General features: G+C 49.9%; 1 protein-coding gene across 15 annotated transcripts in view, besides 2 other annotated features; it reads right to left on the bottom strand.

Moving 5' to 3' along the window:
* Positions 1-16,765, bottom strand: part of MLPH (melanophilin) — a 68,913-nt gene that overhangs the window by 48,939 nt on the left and 3,209 nt on the right. For all 15 annotated transcript variants that reach the window (NR_104019.2, NM_001281474.2, XM_017004893.2 and 12 more), the window contains one exon: positions 12,848-12,981. Coding sequence is in view for 14 of the 15 variants with exons in the window: in NM_001281474.2 (NP_001268403.1) it covers positions 12,848-12,957 (110 nt within the window). In the remaining variant the exon portion in view is untranslated. The remainder of the gene's footprint in view (positions 1-12,847; positions 12,982-16,765) is intronic.
* Positions 8,484-8,984: an enhancer, noted in NCBI's record as "H3K4me1 hESC enhancer chr2:238406043-238406543 (GRCh37/hg19 assembly coordinates)". NCBI's record gives its function as "activates a minimal SCP1, AML or CMV promoter by ChIP-STARR-seq in naive H9 embryonic stem cells {active_cell/tissue: H9 hESC(naive)}" and the evidence as "EXISTENCE:reporter gene assay evidence [ECO:0000049][PMID:30033119]".
* Positions 15,804-16,098: a silencer, noted in NCBI's record as "tiled region #758; HepG2 Repressive non-DNase unmatched - State 22:ReprW". NCBI's record gives its function as "represses a minimal TATA promoter and a strong SV40 promoter by Sharpr-MPRA in HepG2 cells {active_cell/tissue: HepG2}" and the evidence as "EXISTENCE:reporter gene assay evidence [ECO:0000049][PMID:27701403]".

Below are 16,765 nucleotides of genomic sequence, written 5' to 3'. Positions count from 1 at the left end.
GTCTGTGGCTTGTCCTGCTACACAGACATTAAAGAGATTTGCAAAAGCAGAACAACACCACTCACCTTACTCACACTCTGATTTTGGGAAAATCTCATTTTTTATAAAAACTGTATTTATATTAACATGTAGGGGGTTTACTGTTATTTTTAAATGAGTGAATAAATAAATATTTTTAACTCCCAGTTTTAATTTCTGATGTGGTAAATATTAATAGATATGACCCATATGAATAAAACTCTTTGGGGTTCTCAGTAATTTAGGAAATGTGAAGGGGTCCTGAGGCCCAAAGGTTTGAGAACTGCTGATTTCGAAGTCAAGTTTGCTCTCCCTCCCAGAATGTGGAGAAAAGGGACTAAGCGATGGGAGACAGTGGGGAGATGATGGCAAAGGCCGAGAAAGTGAGCTCCCAGGGGAGACAGAGCCCTGGAGACGGGGATGCATGGGGGTGGAAGGGAAGTGCTGTCCTTGTCCTTGGGGCAGGGGACCCACATTACTGTCCTCTGCAGTCCCACCTCCAGAGGGCCCTGGGACACGCATGCCAGAGCTGTGACTGGTGGGGCAGAACAGAGCCAAGGGGGCACTCCTGTCCTCAAGGGAGGCCCGGCAGCCTCTGAAGAAAGGGCGTATACCAGGGAAGGAAAACGCTTCTAGGACGGGAACAGGAAGGAAAGGCCGCTCCTATGATGGGGTCTGGACAGGATTGGTGAGCCACGCAGGGTGAAGGGGTCAGACCTGTGCCCTGCTCTGCCCCTCTTGGGGTGAAATCTAGACAGGGGTGTGGTGGCAACATGCAGGAATACTGGGGAGAGCCCAGGATGGCGGGGCTGGTGGCCACCCCTGAAGGCACAGCAGGGGGAAGCTCCCACTGTGGCCATCCCCAAGGTCCAGCACACAGGCGGGGGAAGAGCCTGCATGAGGGGTCCTGTGGGCCTCCACTTGCGTTGGGTGCTGGGGTGGTGGGGAATCCACATCCCTGTGATCCTTAAACCATGCTCCAGCAGGACTGCATGCGATGAGGAGCAGCCAGGGGACTGGCAGAGGCTTGGGGTTGGTGGAAGAGGCCACAGCACGTGGGTATGTGGCTGGGATCAGGGTCTCAGTGGTGGGTGCCATCCGTATCTCAGTGCCCGGCCAGTACCCTTCACATACCAGCCAGCGGTCCCCATCCTGCAAGCTGACCTGCCCTCCACTCTGCATCAGGACCAGCAAGGAGGTGGGGACAGTGTGTGGAGTCCAGACCCCATCAACCTGGCCACCGGGAGGGTCATGAGCCTTTCTCCCAAGGCCCAGCTGCTGGCCTGGCCAAAAGCATGGGTTGGGGAGCAGAGGTGGGGTTGTGGGGAGCTCTGGAAGAGAAGCTGAGCCAGGAACAGAGACCCGGTAAGTGAGCAGAGTCTGGGAGATCTGAAGCCCTGAAGCTTGCACTGTCTTGCTGCTCAAGGGGTGGGGTCTCACGAGGGGGAGCAGATGGGAAATAAAAGACCTGTATTTCCTTTGCACGGCTTGGTTGGGTGAAGTTTTCGACCATGAGTTTTTGCCATGCCACTGAGGCAGCCGTCACCCTAACAACACAGGAAAACTCTCCTAACCAGAGAGAAGAAACAAAGAAAGAGCTGAGTCTTCAGATTAGAGGGGTCGCTGGATGGTAGGAGATGCCTACACAGACTGACAAGACCACTCTGTTATAGGGCGGGCAAAATCCCTACCAGCATGGTGGACAGAACCGGCGGCCTCCAACAGAGTGGAGGTCATGCAGGGGGCCCTTCTGCAAGGCTGAGGGCTGGCCGTGGGGCAGTGGCTCCCGTCCAACTGCTGCCATTTCAGAGCTCCACCAACTCCATGGCTTAAAACAATGCAAATGCTGGTCAGTTGCGGTGGCTCACACCTGTAATCCCAGCACTTTGGGAGGCCAAGGTGGGTGGATCACCTGAGGTCAGGAGTTCGAGACCAGCCTGGCCAACATGGTGAATCCCCATCTCTACTAAAAATACAAAAAATCAGCCCCGTGTGGTGGTGGGCACCTGTAATCCCAGCTACTTGGGAGGCTGAGACAGGAGAATCGCTTAAACCCAGGAGGTGGAGGTTGCAGTGAGCTGAGATTGCGCCACTGCACTCCAGCCTGGGCAGTAAGAGCAAAACTCCACCTCAAAAAACAAAATAAAATAAAATAAACACAATACAAAAACAATGCAAATGCATTACCTGACAGCTCTGGAGGGCAGAAGTTTGACTCAGGATTCATTGAGCTAACATCAAGGTGTCGGCAGGATTGTGGCACCTCCTGGAGCCCCCAGAGGGGAATCTGCTCTCTGGCAGTTTAGCTTCTTGAGGGCTTCAGGTATGTGGGCTCCTGGCCCCTTTCTCCATCTTCAAAACCAGCCATCCCTTCTGCTTCTAAGGCCCCTGTGATGATATTAGGCCCGCCCAGGGAACCCGGGATCATCTCCCAGGTCCAGGCCAGCAGGTGGGCAGCCTAAAATGCATAATCCCATTTCTGTATAGCCTCACGAATTCAGAGGTTCTTGGGGTTGGGAAGTAGACATCTTTTTGGGGGGGATTATTCTGCTTACCACCGGTAAGCATCCCCACAGCCTGTAGGGGAAAGCGTGTGAGGTCAGATTGTACTCCCAGGCAAGTGGAACAGATCCTCAAAGACAAAATCCACACTCCATGCCATGCCTGAGAAAACAGCCTGAGGACAGACCCCAGGTAATGGAGAAATGATTCCTGAGGGTGACCCTGAGTTGGGGACTGGAGCACAAAAGATCCAGTGAGTCACAGGATCCAGGGGCCAAATGACTGAAAGCGTGGCAACCAAAGTAAACCTCACGTCAGGGCTAACGGCTGGCAGAGGACGGAAAGACGGCAGCATTGCTGAGGAGCAGCACCGGGGACCCAGGCTCCTCATCCTGGGAACGCGTGTCGGGAATTACCACGAGGGAGCTGGAAACTCACTCAAGTTCCTGGAGATCCTCTAAAGGGGAAGACCAAGATGACGATAAAAAAGATGAAGAGGAAGTGAGTGGTGATGTGAGAACGGCAGGCGCTGAGAGACGGAGCCTCAGAGTATCTCCTAAAACATCTCAGACCAATGTTCCCCTCCAGGCCCTGCCTTGGCAGCGGAGTCCCTGTTTTAGCCCCTATTTTTTTCATCTCTAGAGTTGCCTGTGTCCGTGATTCCAACTAGTCCGGCTAAGGGTGATTTCAAATTCCTTATGATCAAAAAAATGGATTTTTATTATTTATTTATGTATTTATTTTTGAGATGGAATTTCGCTCTGCTGCCCAGGCTGGACTGAAGTGGTGTGATCTTGGCTGACTGCAACCTTTGCCCCCCGGGTTCAAGCGATTCTCCTGCCTCAGCCTCCTGAGTAGCTGAGACAACAGGCGCCTGCCATCATGGCTGGCTAATTTTTGTATTTTTAGTAGAGATGGGGTTTCGCCATGCTGACCAGGCTGGTCTCGAACTCCTGACCTCAGGTGAACCACCTGCCTCGGCCTCCCAAAGTGCTAGGGTTACAGGCATCAGTCACCGAGCCTGGTCAAAAAAAAATTTTTTTTAAAGCAAGCCACGGTTTGCCCGTGTCTCATACTAGGAGACCCTTCACAGATTCTCTCTGAACCTCCTCTGTTTGCAGAGATCACAAATCCACGTCACCACCTATTTGCCTTTCCAGGGCAGGTTGGCAGTCCTAATATTTGATTTGTAGGCTGTGTCCTTTAAAACAGGGTGTTCCGTTTGGGCTTCAGCCTTTCCCCCAGGGCATGAGTCACCCAAGTCCGGCTATGCATGGTCTCCTAGTTCTTCCTGGGTTTGGAGAATATCCATTAATTTCTACCATAACCACAGCTGAGGGGCTACCCTAACAAATGCAGAAAGCAGTTACTGGGAGAACTTGACACAAGCATGATACAAAGCAAGACACAAATCAGCACCAATGCAAGCTCCAGGGTGCCCAGGAGGAGGCCTGCTCCTTTTGTGCACAGCCCCAGGTCCCTTGGGTCCAGGACAGGGATGGGTGCCTAAGAAGTTCTGGGCTCTTCTGGGGACAGAAGGAGTTAAAAGCTGTGACTATTAACCAATGTTCCCTTCAAGAAGGTTTACTTTGGCCCTACTTTGTATTTGTAGAACATTAAAAAATAATAACATGTGATAATCTTTTCTGTACTTAAAACCTTCTTAATACCCAAGTGATATGAATGAATCTAAAACACTCAAGATGAGAGCACTCTGAGGACCACTTCTATGGAACTCACCACCAGATTACAGGAAAACAGGGACAATGGAACTTTGGTGCAAACATCACGAGGATATCCTCAGCTAACTCCAGACTGTGAAAAATTCCACAAAAGTAAACAGCTAGCTTTCTTCTACACATAAGCTTCAAATTAAAAAAACAGAGCTGAAAAGAGATCTTACAGATTCAAAGAGACTTAAAAGATACAGCAAGCAAGTGTAAGGTCTGGACATTATTTGGAGATGAGCGGAAAAGTTTTAACACACATTAGATATTTAAGGAATTAGATCTAATTATTTTATTTATTATTATTATTATTTTTTGAGGAGTGCAGTGGCGCGATCTCAGCTCATGCAACCTCCGCCTCCCAGGTTCAAGCAATTTTCTTGCCTCAGCCTCCTGAGTAGCTGGGATTACAGGCACCTGCCACCATGCCTGGCTAATTTTTTTGTATTTTTTTTTTTTTTTTTTTTTTTTTAGTAGAGACGTGGTTTCACTATGTTAGCCAGGCTGGCCTCGAACTCTTGACCTCAGGTGATCCACCCTCTTCGGCCTCTCAAAGTGCTGGGATTACAGGTGTGAGCCACTGTACCTGGCCTAGAGTGAATTATTTTAGATGTAATATATATTTATGGGGGAAATAGGAGATGAGAGGAACAATAATACGAGACAATACACCAATACACAGCAAGCTCTCACTCACTGCAGATAGACCCGCGAATGCTAAAAGTAAACATTTACCAGATATTCATCACAGCTGGGTAACCCGCCCCAGACTCAGTTTCTCACTTGTGCATGGGGCCAGTAAAAGTAACCACATCACAGGGGTGTCTGAGGGTTAAAGGAGACAATAGAGATGAAGCTGAAAGAGGTCATCATCCAATGTGAGCCCAGAGAGCTGTGGAGTCGTTCCATGGTCAGTACTGTGCTGGGGGCTGGTGACACAGCGCCAAAGCAGCAGAACCCTCATGGGGCTTAGATGCCGGCAGGGATAAGACACTAACAAGGAAATGACTCACTGGGCATTGGAGAAGCGCTAAGGAGGAAATGGAGGAGGGAGTGAGGTCCCACGGTGAGCAGGGGTGAGGAGGGCGAATTTCATCGTAAATGTGATGGAAGCTCTGTGGGGGTTATGAGCCGGGGGATGACCTGATCCACATTTTTAAGGCATGAGTCTGGGGGATGTGGGGAGAATGGACAACAAGACGGTGAGGGTGGAGGGAGAGAAGAGTAAGTGTGTGTGTGGGGTGGATTCCTGTGGTGTCCACAAGAAAGACAGTGTGGCGTGACCTGAGGCTGGCATTGAGGGCGGTGAGCAGTGGCTGTATTGGTTGAGCCACGGGACTGGCTGAGTGTGGGGTGTGGGGTGAGAGGGAAGGAGCAGAGACAGCCATGAGTCCTGGGAACTTAACTTTGGCAACAGCCTGCATCCAAGATGGGGATGGGGTGCTTGGAGGTGGAGGAGAAATCACAACTTCTGTTTTGGACATGCTGGGACAGAGATGTCAGTGGAACACTTTGGCCGCAGTGTCGTGCAAGCCTTTGCCTACAAAAGTCAGAGTTCAGAGGATGTGTCTCTGATGTGGGTGTAAACTTGGGACTCATTGTTTAGATGTGTTGTCTAGCTGCTGTAGTAGCTCCTAGCTGCTAGGGCACATGCAGCTATTTACGTTTAAATTAATTAAAATTGAATACGATTAAAACTTTTTTTCCCCAGTTGCATTAGCCACACTTCTGGTGCTCCATAGCCTTGGGTGGCTAGTGGCTGCCACATGGGTCATGCAGATACGAACATTTCCATCACTGTAGAAAGTTCCATCAGGCAGTGCTGGTCTAGAACTCATTTAAAACCTTGGGGCTGGACAAGGTCACTGGAGAAGTGAGTGACACAGAGCAGAGAAGAGAGTTGAGGCCAGGGCCCTCGACCCTGCGAAAGGGAATATTTAAAGAGTCCAAGAAGTTCCAGCAAAGGAGACAGAGAAGGGACTAGACTCCAACACACGACGTAGAGCCACATCCAGAGAGGGCTCAATGAGTGCTGAGCTTCTGCTACCATTATTGGATTTTTCTACGTATTTTTTTAAAAAAGTAAAATCTGGCTAAGTGTAGTGGCTCACATCTGTAATCCCAGCACTTTGAGAGGTTGAAGTGGGAAGATCACTTGAGCCCAGGAGTTCAAGACAAGCCTGGACAACATAGAGAGACCCCATCTCTACAAAAAATTTAAAAAATTAGCTAGGTGTGGTGATGCATGCCTGTAGTCTCAGCTTCTCAGGAGACTGAGGTGGGAGGGTTACTTGAGCCTGGGAGGTCGAGGCTGCAGTGAGCCATGATCACGCCACTGCACTCCAGCCTGGGTAACAGAGCAAGACCCTGTCTCACAAAACAAACAAAAAAAAAGTAAAATGGGATAAAATTACATTTTCACAACTTGCTTTTTCTACTGGACAATGTCTTGTGAACTATTAATGTCAATTTATTTCTATCATTATTTTCATTGGGTGCTGAGCAACCTATTGTTAAATCCGTTGTTAAATTTGGTATTTAACCAAAGCCTGAACATTTGGACATTAGGGTCTTTCTAGTTCTTCTCTCCTGTAACCCTTGTCTGATTCTCTCCTTATGATGACTTCCAGCAGAGGACCTGCTGGCTCAACAGGTGAGCATACTTTTAAGACTTTTGCTACCTTAGTCCAAATGGGCCTCTGCAAAGATCTGATATGGTGGCCACTAACCACATGTGGCCATCAAAAACCTGCAATGTGACTAATAAGACTGAAGAGCTAAATTTTATTTAATTATAATTTTATTTTATTTAATTATAATTAATTTTAATAGCCACTAGTGGCTAGTAACTTCTGTCCTGGACAGTGCAGCCTTAGGTCTATTTATATGATGATTTAACAGGGCTATGTATATATTTTTCTTTATCTTCATCAATATGAGGTGTCAGGGCGAGGCTAGTGAACACTCTGCCGTGAAGCAGTTTAAATCACACAGGATTTATCTGTTCTTTGACCATTTAAAAGATCCATCCATGAAAGCATATGGACGAAACCCTCCGGGAAGATCTGTCATTGGCAATTTATTCCAATAATGGGCCAGCGGGAAAAAGAGGAGGCTTCAAACTAACCACAGAGTAAAGTCAAGAGAGTGTGGGGAAAGTTACACCCAGGACAAGCAGAGGGTCAGGAGGGACAAAGGCTGAGAAGGGGCTGCTGATCGGGCAGCTCCTGGGATAGGACATGGGTGTTAAGTCAAATCTATCCTAAAATGCCTATCTGATGCCAGTGGTGCTAACATCCTAATTTTGTACATCTTCAAGTTTTCGATTCTATGGTGCACAGCACTGTGTCCTCGTGGGAGGCAGGAACAGCCCTCCCACTCTATATAGCAAACAGCCCATTCCCAAATCCCTAGTGGCACAGATGACTTGAGAGAGAGATTATGCCTGCCTGGGCTAGATCAAGACGTGCTGGCTTCCCCTTCCTTCTCACCGATCCCTCCTAAGGGCCAGCAAGGAGAGCCTTGTCAGGCGTGTGCGTCACCGAATGTCCACAGCACAGCTTGGAGGGAGGGGCAGGCCTGGCCAAGGGAGCAGGAGCTTCCGTGGCTTGGGGACAGGATGCTGCTCATGGGGGTCTCAGGGTCACATGCCCTCCTTCCTCCAGCATATCAGGGATCTGGACCAGCTTGTTTGTCCCTGCTTTGACAGAGGAGAAATCAAAGTTGTGTTGTTCTGACGCTGTGGGAAAAGGCGCAGGCGTCACCTCCAGACCCTGCCCAGCGTCCTTCAACGTGATTGATGCTCACATCTGGAGAGAAATACTGAGCAGGAATCCATCTGACACACATCTGCTAATTTTAAGACTGTTAAAAGAAATGCATTTTCTTTGGTTTGATAATTGGTGCATTAAGTGAATCCGCTCTTAAGCAAATCAACCCCCTGGCAAACTTGTTTCTGGGGCACTGGCCTTGAGTCTGCATGCTGTGTTCCCCTGATGCATATTCTGGGTAGTAAAGCTCTTTCCAAGAAACGATGGTGTGTTTCTTGGTTTCACAATTCCCCCACCCCTGTTCTCTCCTCTCTCCAATCAGTGGCCTTGAGTTTCCTCGGGCTGGGTCGCGCCCACGGGCTTCCCTCTCAGAGTTTGTGAGACACATGGGAAACTGCTGGGCGGCTCCTGAATTGCTACATTTGTTACCGCCACCTACTTAGTGGTCCCTCGAGCACCAGTTTCTTCATCCAGCCTCTTGCTGATTCAGATATTTAAGACTCGGTGACCGGGAGCAGACATGAGGACCCCGAGGATGTCACCCAGAGAGACGCTACAGAGAACGGGATTCTGTGGCGGCAGCACACAGATGACTGTTCATGTTGAAATTGGTTAAACGCACAGATTAGCAATGATGAAAGACAGGGAAGGAGGTTCATTATTGTAAGAGTTATCTTCCGTTTCATCATGGATTTCTGGTATTTTCGCCAGCTCCTCTGCAGAACCAATTTTGGTGCCAAGAACCAGAGCCTTTTTTCTATGCTTGTTTCCTCTGTGGCCTTGCACAGCGTCCACACCACCTGGTTTGAGCAGAGCACACTGCGAGGCGTGTTTTGACCTTGCGGTGCTCAAGTCACCTGCACCTGATGCGTGCCCACACGCTGGGGCCCTGCCACTCCCCGGGGCTCACGAGGCACCTGTGAAAAGTCTTCTCACAGGTAGAGGCAGCTCTCCTTTTAGTGACATATTTAACCAATAGGGCAGTCAACAAAAGACAAGCACAAATGAAACAATAAGAAACTCAAAAACCTCTTAACTACCTCTGCCACCACACTGTTTACATCAGGGGTCCCCAAGCCCCAGCTGTGGCCCAGTAAGTGTCCCTGGCCTGTGAGGAACCGAATTGCACGGCAGGAGGTGATTGGCAGGTAAGAGAGCATTTCCCGCCTGAGCTCCGCCTCCTGCCAGGTCAGCGGCAGCGTTAGATACTCATAGAGCTCCCATAGTTGTCTGTTGTGAACTGTGCTTGCGAGGGATCTAGCCTGTGTGCTCCTTATGAGAACGAGAATGAGGTGGAACAGCTTCATCCTGAAACCATCTCCAACCCTGCCCCCAGCCTCCTCCCCCAGCCCCTCACATCTGTGGAAAAATTGTCTTCTATGAAACCGGTCTCTGGTACCAAAAAGGTTGGGGACCACTGGTTTACATGATTCTTTGCCTCCCAAATGTGTCACCTGCTGACATGTACTCTCATAGTAAGACCCATCATAGCAATGCCACTTGGGCATTCAGTATTCTCGACCTAACACTACCTTGACACAGGCTTTTCATAGCACTGCCTCTCTGCTCACTGACATTTTCAACACAGTACTCTACGCTCATGCGGCCCCTTCCCATCGGAAGACATCTGGGGACTTAACAAGCCCCCCCCTAATCACATAGCAGACTGGGCCAATTAACGCCCCAGCCACTGGCTCATTCTGAGCAAACAGCCTCAGGCACAGAATGAACAATGTGACCTCGGCTGTAACCAACTGGCCATCAGCGGCCCACCAGGCAGGGTCATCAGAACCCATATTCTTACAAAAGTCCTTTCCTAAGAGTACTGAGAGGTGACCTGGGTGCGTCCTTTCCTAAGAGTTCTGGGAGGTGACCTGGGTGTGTCCCTTCTTTGCAATGTGAAATGATGAAAAGAGCATGAAATAAGGAAAGACGGGTGTCAGAAGGGGGTGAGCCACAGACAGGAAACGCATGGGGGTTTCTGCTAAACCCGCTTCAGATAAGCCTGGACTGGAGCAGGGCGGACCACTCAGCAGTCCCCTGGAAGACAGTGCCTGTCCGGGACCCCCAGGCCCCACTTGCTCCCTCCCTCTGCTCCTTGGAAAACATGGTTCTCCCCCCTTTTCCATTTCTCTGCATTCGCCTATACTCAGGCAATGAGAAGTTACAAGTTGCCATTTGAAATAAGGGCTGACAATAGCCAGGGCTGCCTTGGAGACAGGGCAGGATGCACCTGGGAAGGATCCACCCAGAAGGGGGTTCTACTAATGAGAACGATGTTCTGCCCTTGGCACAGCCTGAACGCCAAAGCTGACGCAGGGATTGCTGCTCTGGTGAAAACAGTGAGAGAACATTTGAGTTTACGTAGAGAGAATGGGAAAGAGAGGGTGAGGGACTTCAGAATGTGGAAATGGGGGATCTGAGACTCAAGAGTGGAGGGGTGAGGACGGGGCCCGTGAGACCGCATTTTCCTGCCAGAGTAAAGGGGACAGGGTGTCAGCCCTGCGGTCAGCTGCATGCTGGTCCGCAGCCTCTGCTCAGGCTTTGAGAAGGTGGTCGTGGCCGGCCATGGCCACCAGGCTGGTACTGGCTGTACCAGGGCCAGCAGGTTGGGCCCTCCCCCGAGGCCGGTGGTGAAACCTGGGCTATAATGAAATCCAGGGGTGACTGGTGGTCCAGGGCCGAGGGAGAGTGGGGGATCACACGGTGGGGAGGCTCTGACGCCGGCCCCTCCCCACCAACACGAGCGCCTCCTGCTCCATGTGGGGCTGAACTGCTCTTGCTTCACCTAACGGTTTGTTGCGGACCCTGTTCAGCATGGGAACCCAAAGTCCCTCTTCTACTGCTCCTTCTCTCTCCTTTCTTGGTGCTTTGTCTCCTCAACATGCTTGAGCTCACGTCCCCGGGGCTGGTCCCCATCCAAATTCCCTTCCAGTGCGGTCTCCTATGGCCCTGCAGCTTTAAATGCTGGGGTCAGCTGAACAATGCTGCCACCCCCTGCCCCAAGGCATTCATGTTCTAGTCCCAAGAACCTGTGAAAATGTCACCTCACATAGCAAAAGGGACTTTGCCGATGGAATGACATTAAGGATCCTGAGATGGGAAGAGGGTCCTGGATGATACGGGCAGTTCCTAAATGTAACCATATTTCTCCTCATAGGGGAAAGAGGAAGGCAGGAAAGTCAAAGAGAGAGATGTGAGCATGGAGGCACAGGTGAGGGAGGGAGGGTGAGAGAGAGGCAGTGGCAGAAAGAGACATTGTTAGACATTGTGCTGATGGCCTTGGAGGTGGAGGAGGGGCCAGGAGCCAGGGAATCCAGGAAGCCTCTAGAACCTGGAAAAGGCCGAGAGATGGGTCCTCCCTCCAGCCTCCAGCTGGAATGTAGCTCTGAGGACAACTTGATTTTAGGACCTCTGACCTGCAGAACTGCAGGACAGCTGTGTGTTTTAAACCACTAAATCTGTACTGTACAAGTCACATATGCAGCAGTCCCAGAAATGAATACAAATACCTTTCATCCGTTTCACCATATGAAGCTTCACCTTTACGAAGCTCTCGTAACGCATCTCCTCTGAGCTCCGGACTAGTGTATGTATCCAACACCCGCTCAACACACCTGCGTGATGTCACTTCAACATGCCTGAAACATTTCCCCCAAACCTCTCCATCTGTGGCCTCCCCAGCAGAGCTGACCTCAACTCTGTCCTTGAAGTTGCTCAGGCCACAACCTTGAAGTTGCCCTTGATCCCTCTCACCCTGGAGACCCCCCATCTGATCTCTGGTCAAGCTTGCTGGCTCTGCCTGCAAAGTGCATCTGGCCACTTCACAGAGCCCACCGCTGTGAAACAGAAACTAGGACTTGCTGTTGCTCTGCTCGAAGGTCTGTGGTGACTCAGGGGAAGGGTGAGGCCCTGTGAAGCTCTACAGGACCCCCGTGACTGGCACCAGATCCCATGCCCCCCACCTGTTACATCTCCAACTGCCTCTCTTCCTGGCCCCCTCATTTACTCCACTCCAGCCTCGCCAGCCTGTGCTCTCCCTGGGGCACACCAGGCTCCCTCCTGCCATCTTCAGCGGGGCCCTCTGCCCTCCACTCTCTGGCCTCTGCCCTCCACCATCTGCCTTCTGCCTTCTGCCCTCTGCCCTCCACCCTCTGCCCTCTGTCCTCTGCTCTCTGCCCCCCCCTTCGCCGGGAGCATCCTCTCAGCTTTTGCTTAACTACTTCCCTCATATGCTTCCTTCCCATAGGGTGACCCAATCTACTAAAGACATCAAGAAAGGATAAGGGGGCCCAGAAGATAGAGGGGGGAGGAAGATGCGCAGTGGATAGAGTGAACAAGGATGGGTGGGTTTTAGCCCAGTCACTGGGCAGAGTGGAACAAAACCGTGCTGGGGTCACCCATGGTGAGGACGGGATGCTACCTGGCATTGCTGAAAAGAGAGGTGGAAGGGCAGCCTCTGTCCTAAAGACTTGATTCCAACATCTAGGTGTTTCAGAATGGCATGGAGACTTTCCCCATGTATCACCTTTTGCTCTATTCTTCAAAGATGTGGCCTAAGTATCACCTGGCTTAGGATATATCACCCTGGAAGCTGGGTCAAGTTGAAATAAAACTATTCAGAGAACAAGTGAATGTCAGTTTGGCAAGTCAGATCCTCTCATTGAGAAAACCAAGGCCAGAAAGAAGAGCTGTGTCCCAGACCTGGCTTCCTGTCCATCACTCTTCACCCTGCACGTGGCTGTTGACCCACCCAGACAGCACCCATATGATGGCCCTGGGGGAAGATCAGGGACCCCGGGCTCCGTGGGCTCAGCACGGCACACTCACTCTAGCCGTTCCTCTTCTTTCCTTCGGAGGTCAAAATCTCGTTGAACAACTTCCAAGACATGCTGGGCCTCTTCATCAGTGAGCTTGGAAAGATCCAGTTTCTTCCCCATTTCTGCTTCTTGTCGGGGTCACACCTGGAATGTCACAGGATCACAAGTCATCAGTCCCAGAAGCCTACCAATACCAATCAAGTCACAGAGTAAGAGACAACACAGAACGCTGCTGACTTCTCAGGACATCTGTCTGTACTTGGGTTAAATGGTTTTCTAATGCTTGTCTGGAAACTTGTGTAGTTTAATGAATTTAAGTGAATCTATGCAAAATTCCCACATTCGAATTTTAAAAGGGATCTACTTCCTACTCTCCCAAACACACTCAGCCACGGGTCTCTCATTTTCTTTCCACTGTGGGATGAACGTCAGTGATCTCCCCATCCAGGGGCATGGCTCCTCTCCCTCACCTAGGGTTGGGCTTTGCAATGGAAAACCCTGGGAGAAATGCGCCATTCCTGAGGCTTCTCGCCTTAAGTTTCTTGGGAGAGGGAACAGCACAGAAAAGAGGAAACTTCACAGCAAATTCATAGTCAGCTCAGAGTCTCCTGTGCATCTCCTAGACCTCCTAGAGCGATGCTGCAGGCTCTGTGTGGGCAGGGACGCCTGGATGACTGACCCACTAGGTGGAAAAGTTGGGAGACTCCACAGCACTTGGAAGGTTTCACCATCCTCTGGGCGTGGGGGGCTGTTTAGGTTTGCCATGTGTGTGTTTGGGGGTGGTTCCAGGGGGAGGTCATATGAGCCTGATGCCTGTGAGGGCGATGTGCTTGTGCTGGGAATATCCACATAATTTCCCTGGGGAGGCAAAAGTGATGCAACTTGGGAGAACAAAACATCTGGGCAGGATGAGCAGTAGGTGCTGAGATTTATTTACTCGAGAGGTCAGCTGTGGGGCTGCCCAGCAGGGATTCTCATGCCTGGGGTGTATTAGGATCACCTAACACTACTGGTGGCCAGGCCTCACCCTCAGCAAATCTAATTAAATTTTTTAAAATTTTACTTAATTTTTTTTTTTTTTTTTAGAGACGAGTTCTCACTATGCAGCCCAGGCTGGTCTTGAACTCCTGGGCTCAAGTAATCCTTCTGCCTTGGCCTCCCAAAGAGCCATGGTGCCTGTCTGAGAATCTGGTGTGACTCAGCTGCTCAGCAGAGCAGCGGCCCCACCCAATGCACTATGTGATGCTGTGTTTGTAGGTAACCTGATGACCAAGAAGTCAAACCTCAGATGATCTTATGCCCTTTTTTTTTGAAGTTCATCAGACCTGATCCCAATCAATGTCCAAAGGACAGAGGAAGGAAAATCCAAATGTCAAAAGCCAAGATAGGTGGAACCTTAGAATCTTGCTTGCTACTCAAAATGTGGTTCGTGGACTGGCAGCATCCCCTGGGAACTTGTTAGAAGTACAGACTCTCAGGCTCCAACCCAGACCTACTCATTCAGAATCTGCCTTTGAACAAGATCTCCAGGCAGCTCGAGTGCACGTGTTGGCCCATGCTGTTGTCCTCAGACCCCTCTGAGTAGCAAAGCTCTAGGGGAGACTCATTCACTTGGGTAGTGGGCGGCGAGTCACAGAGGACCTTGGCCTGTACATCCTGTCAGGTGGTTGATGGGTGTGAGGCAGGGGAGTGATGCAGTGGTGGTGGCTGAGCAGAGAATGACAGATCCACTTGCTGGCTTTTCATATGGCAATATCACACAGGCCTCACAGCTTATATTGATGTGGACATTACTGCTGGGTATAAAATTGGAGGAACAATTGTACCAGGGAGAACTTCACCACCAATGCATGCACACTGGGACACTGCAAAACTGTGCACGCTCCCCACAGAGGACTTCCCTGATCATCCTGTGGTTTTTACTCCTTCACCTGTCCCCATCCCTTTAACGTTTCTTTATACCCCTTAACAGTTGGTGATGTCTCATTAGTTATTGTTAAGCTCCACAAGAATAGCACCTCTGTCCGTTCCCAGCACATGGCAGGTGCTTTTCTGTGCTTGCAGCTCCCTGGTGTGCAGCAGGCTGTGCCAGGGAAGCCCTCGGCCCTCAGATGCTGCAGCTACAGACAGACCAGCTCTGCTCTGGGCACTGACGCTTTGGGGAATGGATGACTGGGAGTTCTGTTGTGAGTAACTGAAAGTTTAAAAACCACCTCGTAATTTCAATAAGTTTTCCTTGAGGACTTGAACCTATTTTCTCAGGAACATTAGAGAAGGGGTCCAATCTGTGTGCTTTCAGGGGGAAGTCTCAAAACCACCAAAAAGACACAATTTTGCTTCTGAATTCTGAGAAGCATCTCCCATCAGTGCTGCTGACCATTTGGAAGCGTTTATCATAAAAATACTAACAAAACTCCCCCTGTGCTGGAGACGTACTTCGATTTTGTTGCACAAGAGGTTAACTATGAAAAGGGACATTTTCTGGGCAGATACCATTTAAAATAAAAATGTCTACAGAGCTGTCATGGAAGTCAGCCAAAATAGTCCCTGGCTTATGCCATAAAAATGGAGAAGGATAATTCGTTGAATTTTTTTGCACCCATTCGTCAACATTTCCACTCTCAAACATAAAGTTGAGTGTTTGCAATACAAGAAGAGATTGCCCCAATGCCCTGGGAGCATTCAAACTCTGTTCCTTTACAGTCAGATTTAGGTTCTGGTCAAGAAATGGACTTACTACCGAACTCATTTTTGATGCTCTCACAGAGCACACACTTTCTGGTTTCTAAAGAATTGGAACAAAAAGTTATTATTTGATGCATGACTGGAGTTCATTCACTTTTATTTTTCATGAGTTCTGAAAAAAAAGGGATCATAAGAAGAGCATTCACCGACATTCTATTTTCAGAATGGATGGACAGTGTGACCATCAGCTGAGGCATTATCATTCCCTCTCTTCTCCTAACATAGAAGCCAAAATTCCAGGCCTCAGTTTGAGAAACTTAAATCATGATGTGTGAGGAAGAAAAGCAAAACAAAAGGAAAAACCTGCTTTTCTTGTCTTGCAAGCTTCACATTCTTAGAGCACAGTCAGTGACCAGGAAGTGAATGGATAAAAAGATCACAGAGCATCACAACCAATGTCCTAGAGGCTGCTTGGATATCTGTCCCTCCCCCATTCTATCCCCTTTCAAATGGTTTTCTTTCTTTTTTTTTTTTAGATGAGGTCCTGGTCTGTCGCTCAGGCTGCAGTGCGATAGTGCAATCATGGCTCACTGCTGCCTCGACCTCCATGGGCTCAGGGAGGTGAGGGCAGAGAATATGCTAGACCCATGAGGAGTGCAGGGCTGCTCTGTGCCTGCCCTAGCTGGGTGGGGTGGGGGCTCCCAGAGTATGTGCTGGGGGAGGGCAGACGCCACCCTGCTCTATCTGCTCCTTGTTCCATTTCTGTTTAGATAACGCCTGCTCACGAGGTTCCTGAACAAAACACTTCCACTTACTGCCTGTTCCACTGCTCAGATTCGATCATATTTTAAACATTGGAGACAGCCAGCCTTCCCCAGCAGTTGAATAGCCATAGTGGGGCAGAGGGACGGGACACAGGGATTAATAGGCAGGGAGGAGAGAGTGGAGCTGGTTTTATAAGATGGGTATCCCAGGCCCAGACTGCTGAATTCCAGTAGTGTGTCATCTTTATCCGCTAAAGAGTTGAATTAATTTTTTGGCCAAATTGAAGGGAAATCAGGGTGGGGGTTCCTCCTGGATGAAGAATTGGCTTAACTAGCTCTTGGGCTGGCTGCTTGGGGAGCCTTGGAACAATGGTGATTGTGGGTGATTACTCGCCTGGGCAAACAAACTGGCAAGCTAACAACAGCAGGAATGCTCTCTCTGACTCAGAGCCAAGGTGTGTCGTGTGGTGTTATTCTTG

The sequence above is a fragment of the Homo sapiens genome, chromosome 2 (assembly GCF_000001405.40).
Source record: "Homo sapiens chromosome 2, GRCh38.p14 Primary Assembly".
Lineage (NCBI taxonomy): Eukaryota > Metazoa > Chordata > Mammalia > Primates > Hominidae > Homo > Homo sapiens.
The sequence above is the reverse complement of the archived record's forward strand: the minus strand, read 5'-3'. Positions and strand labels throughout refer to the sequence as shown.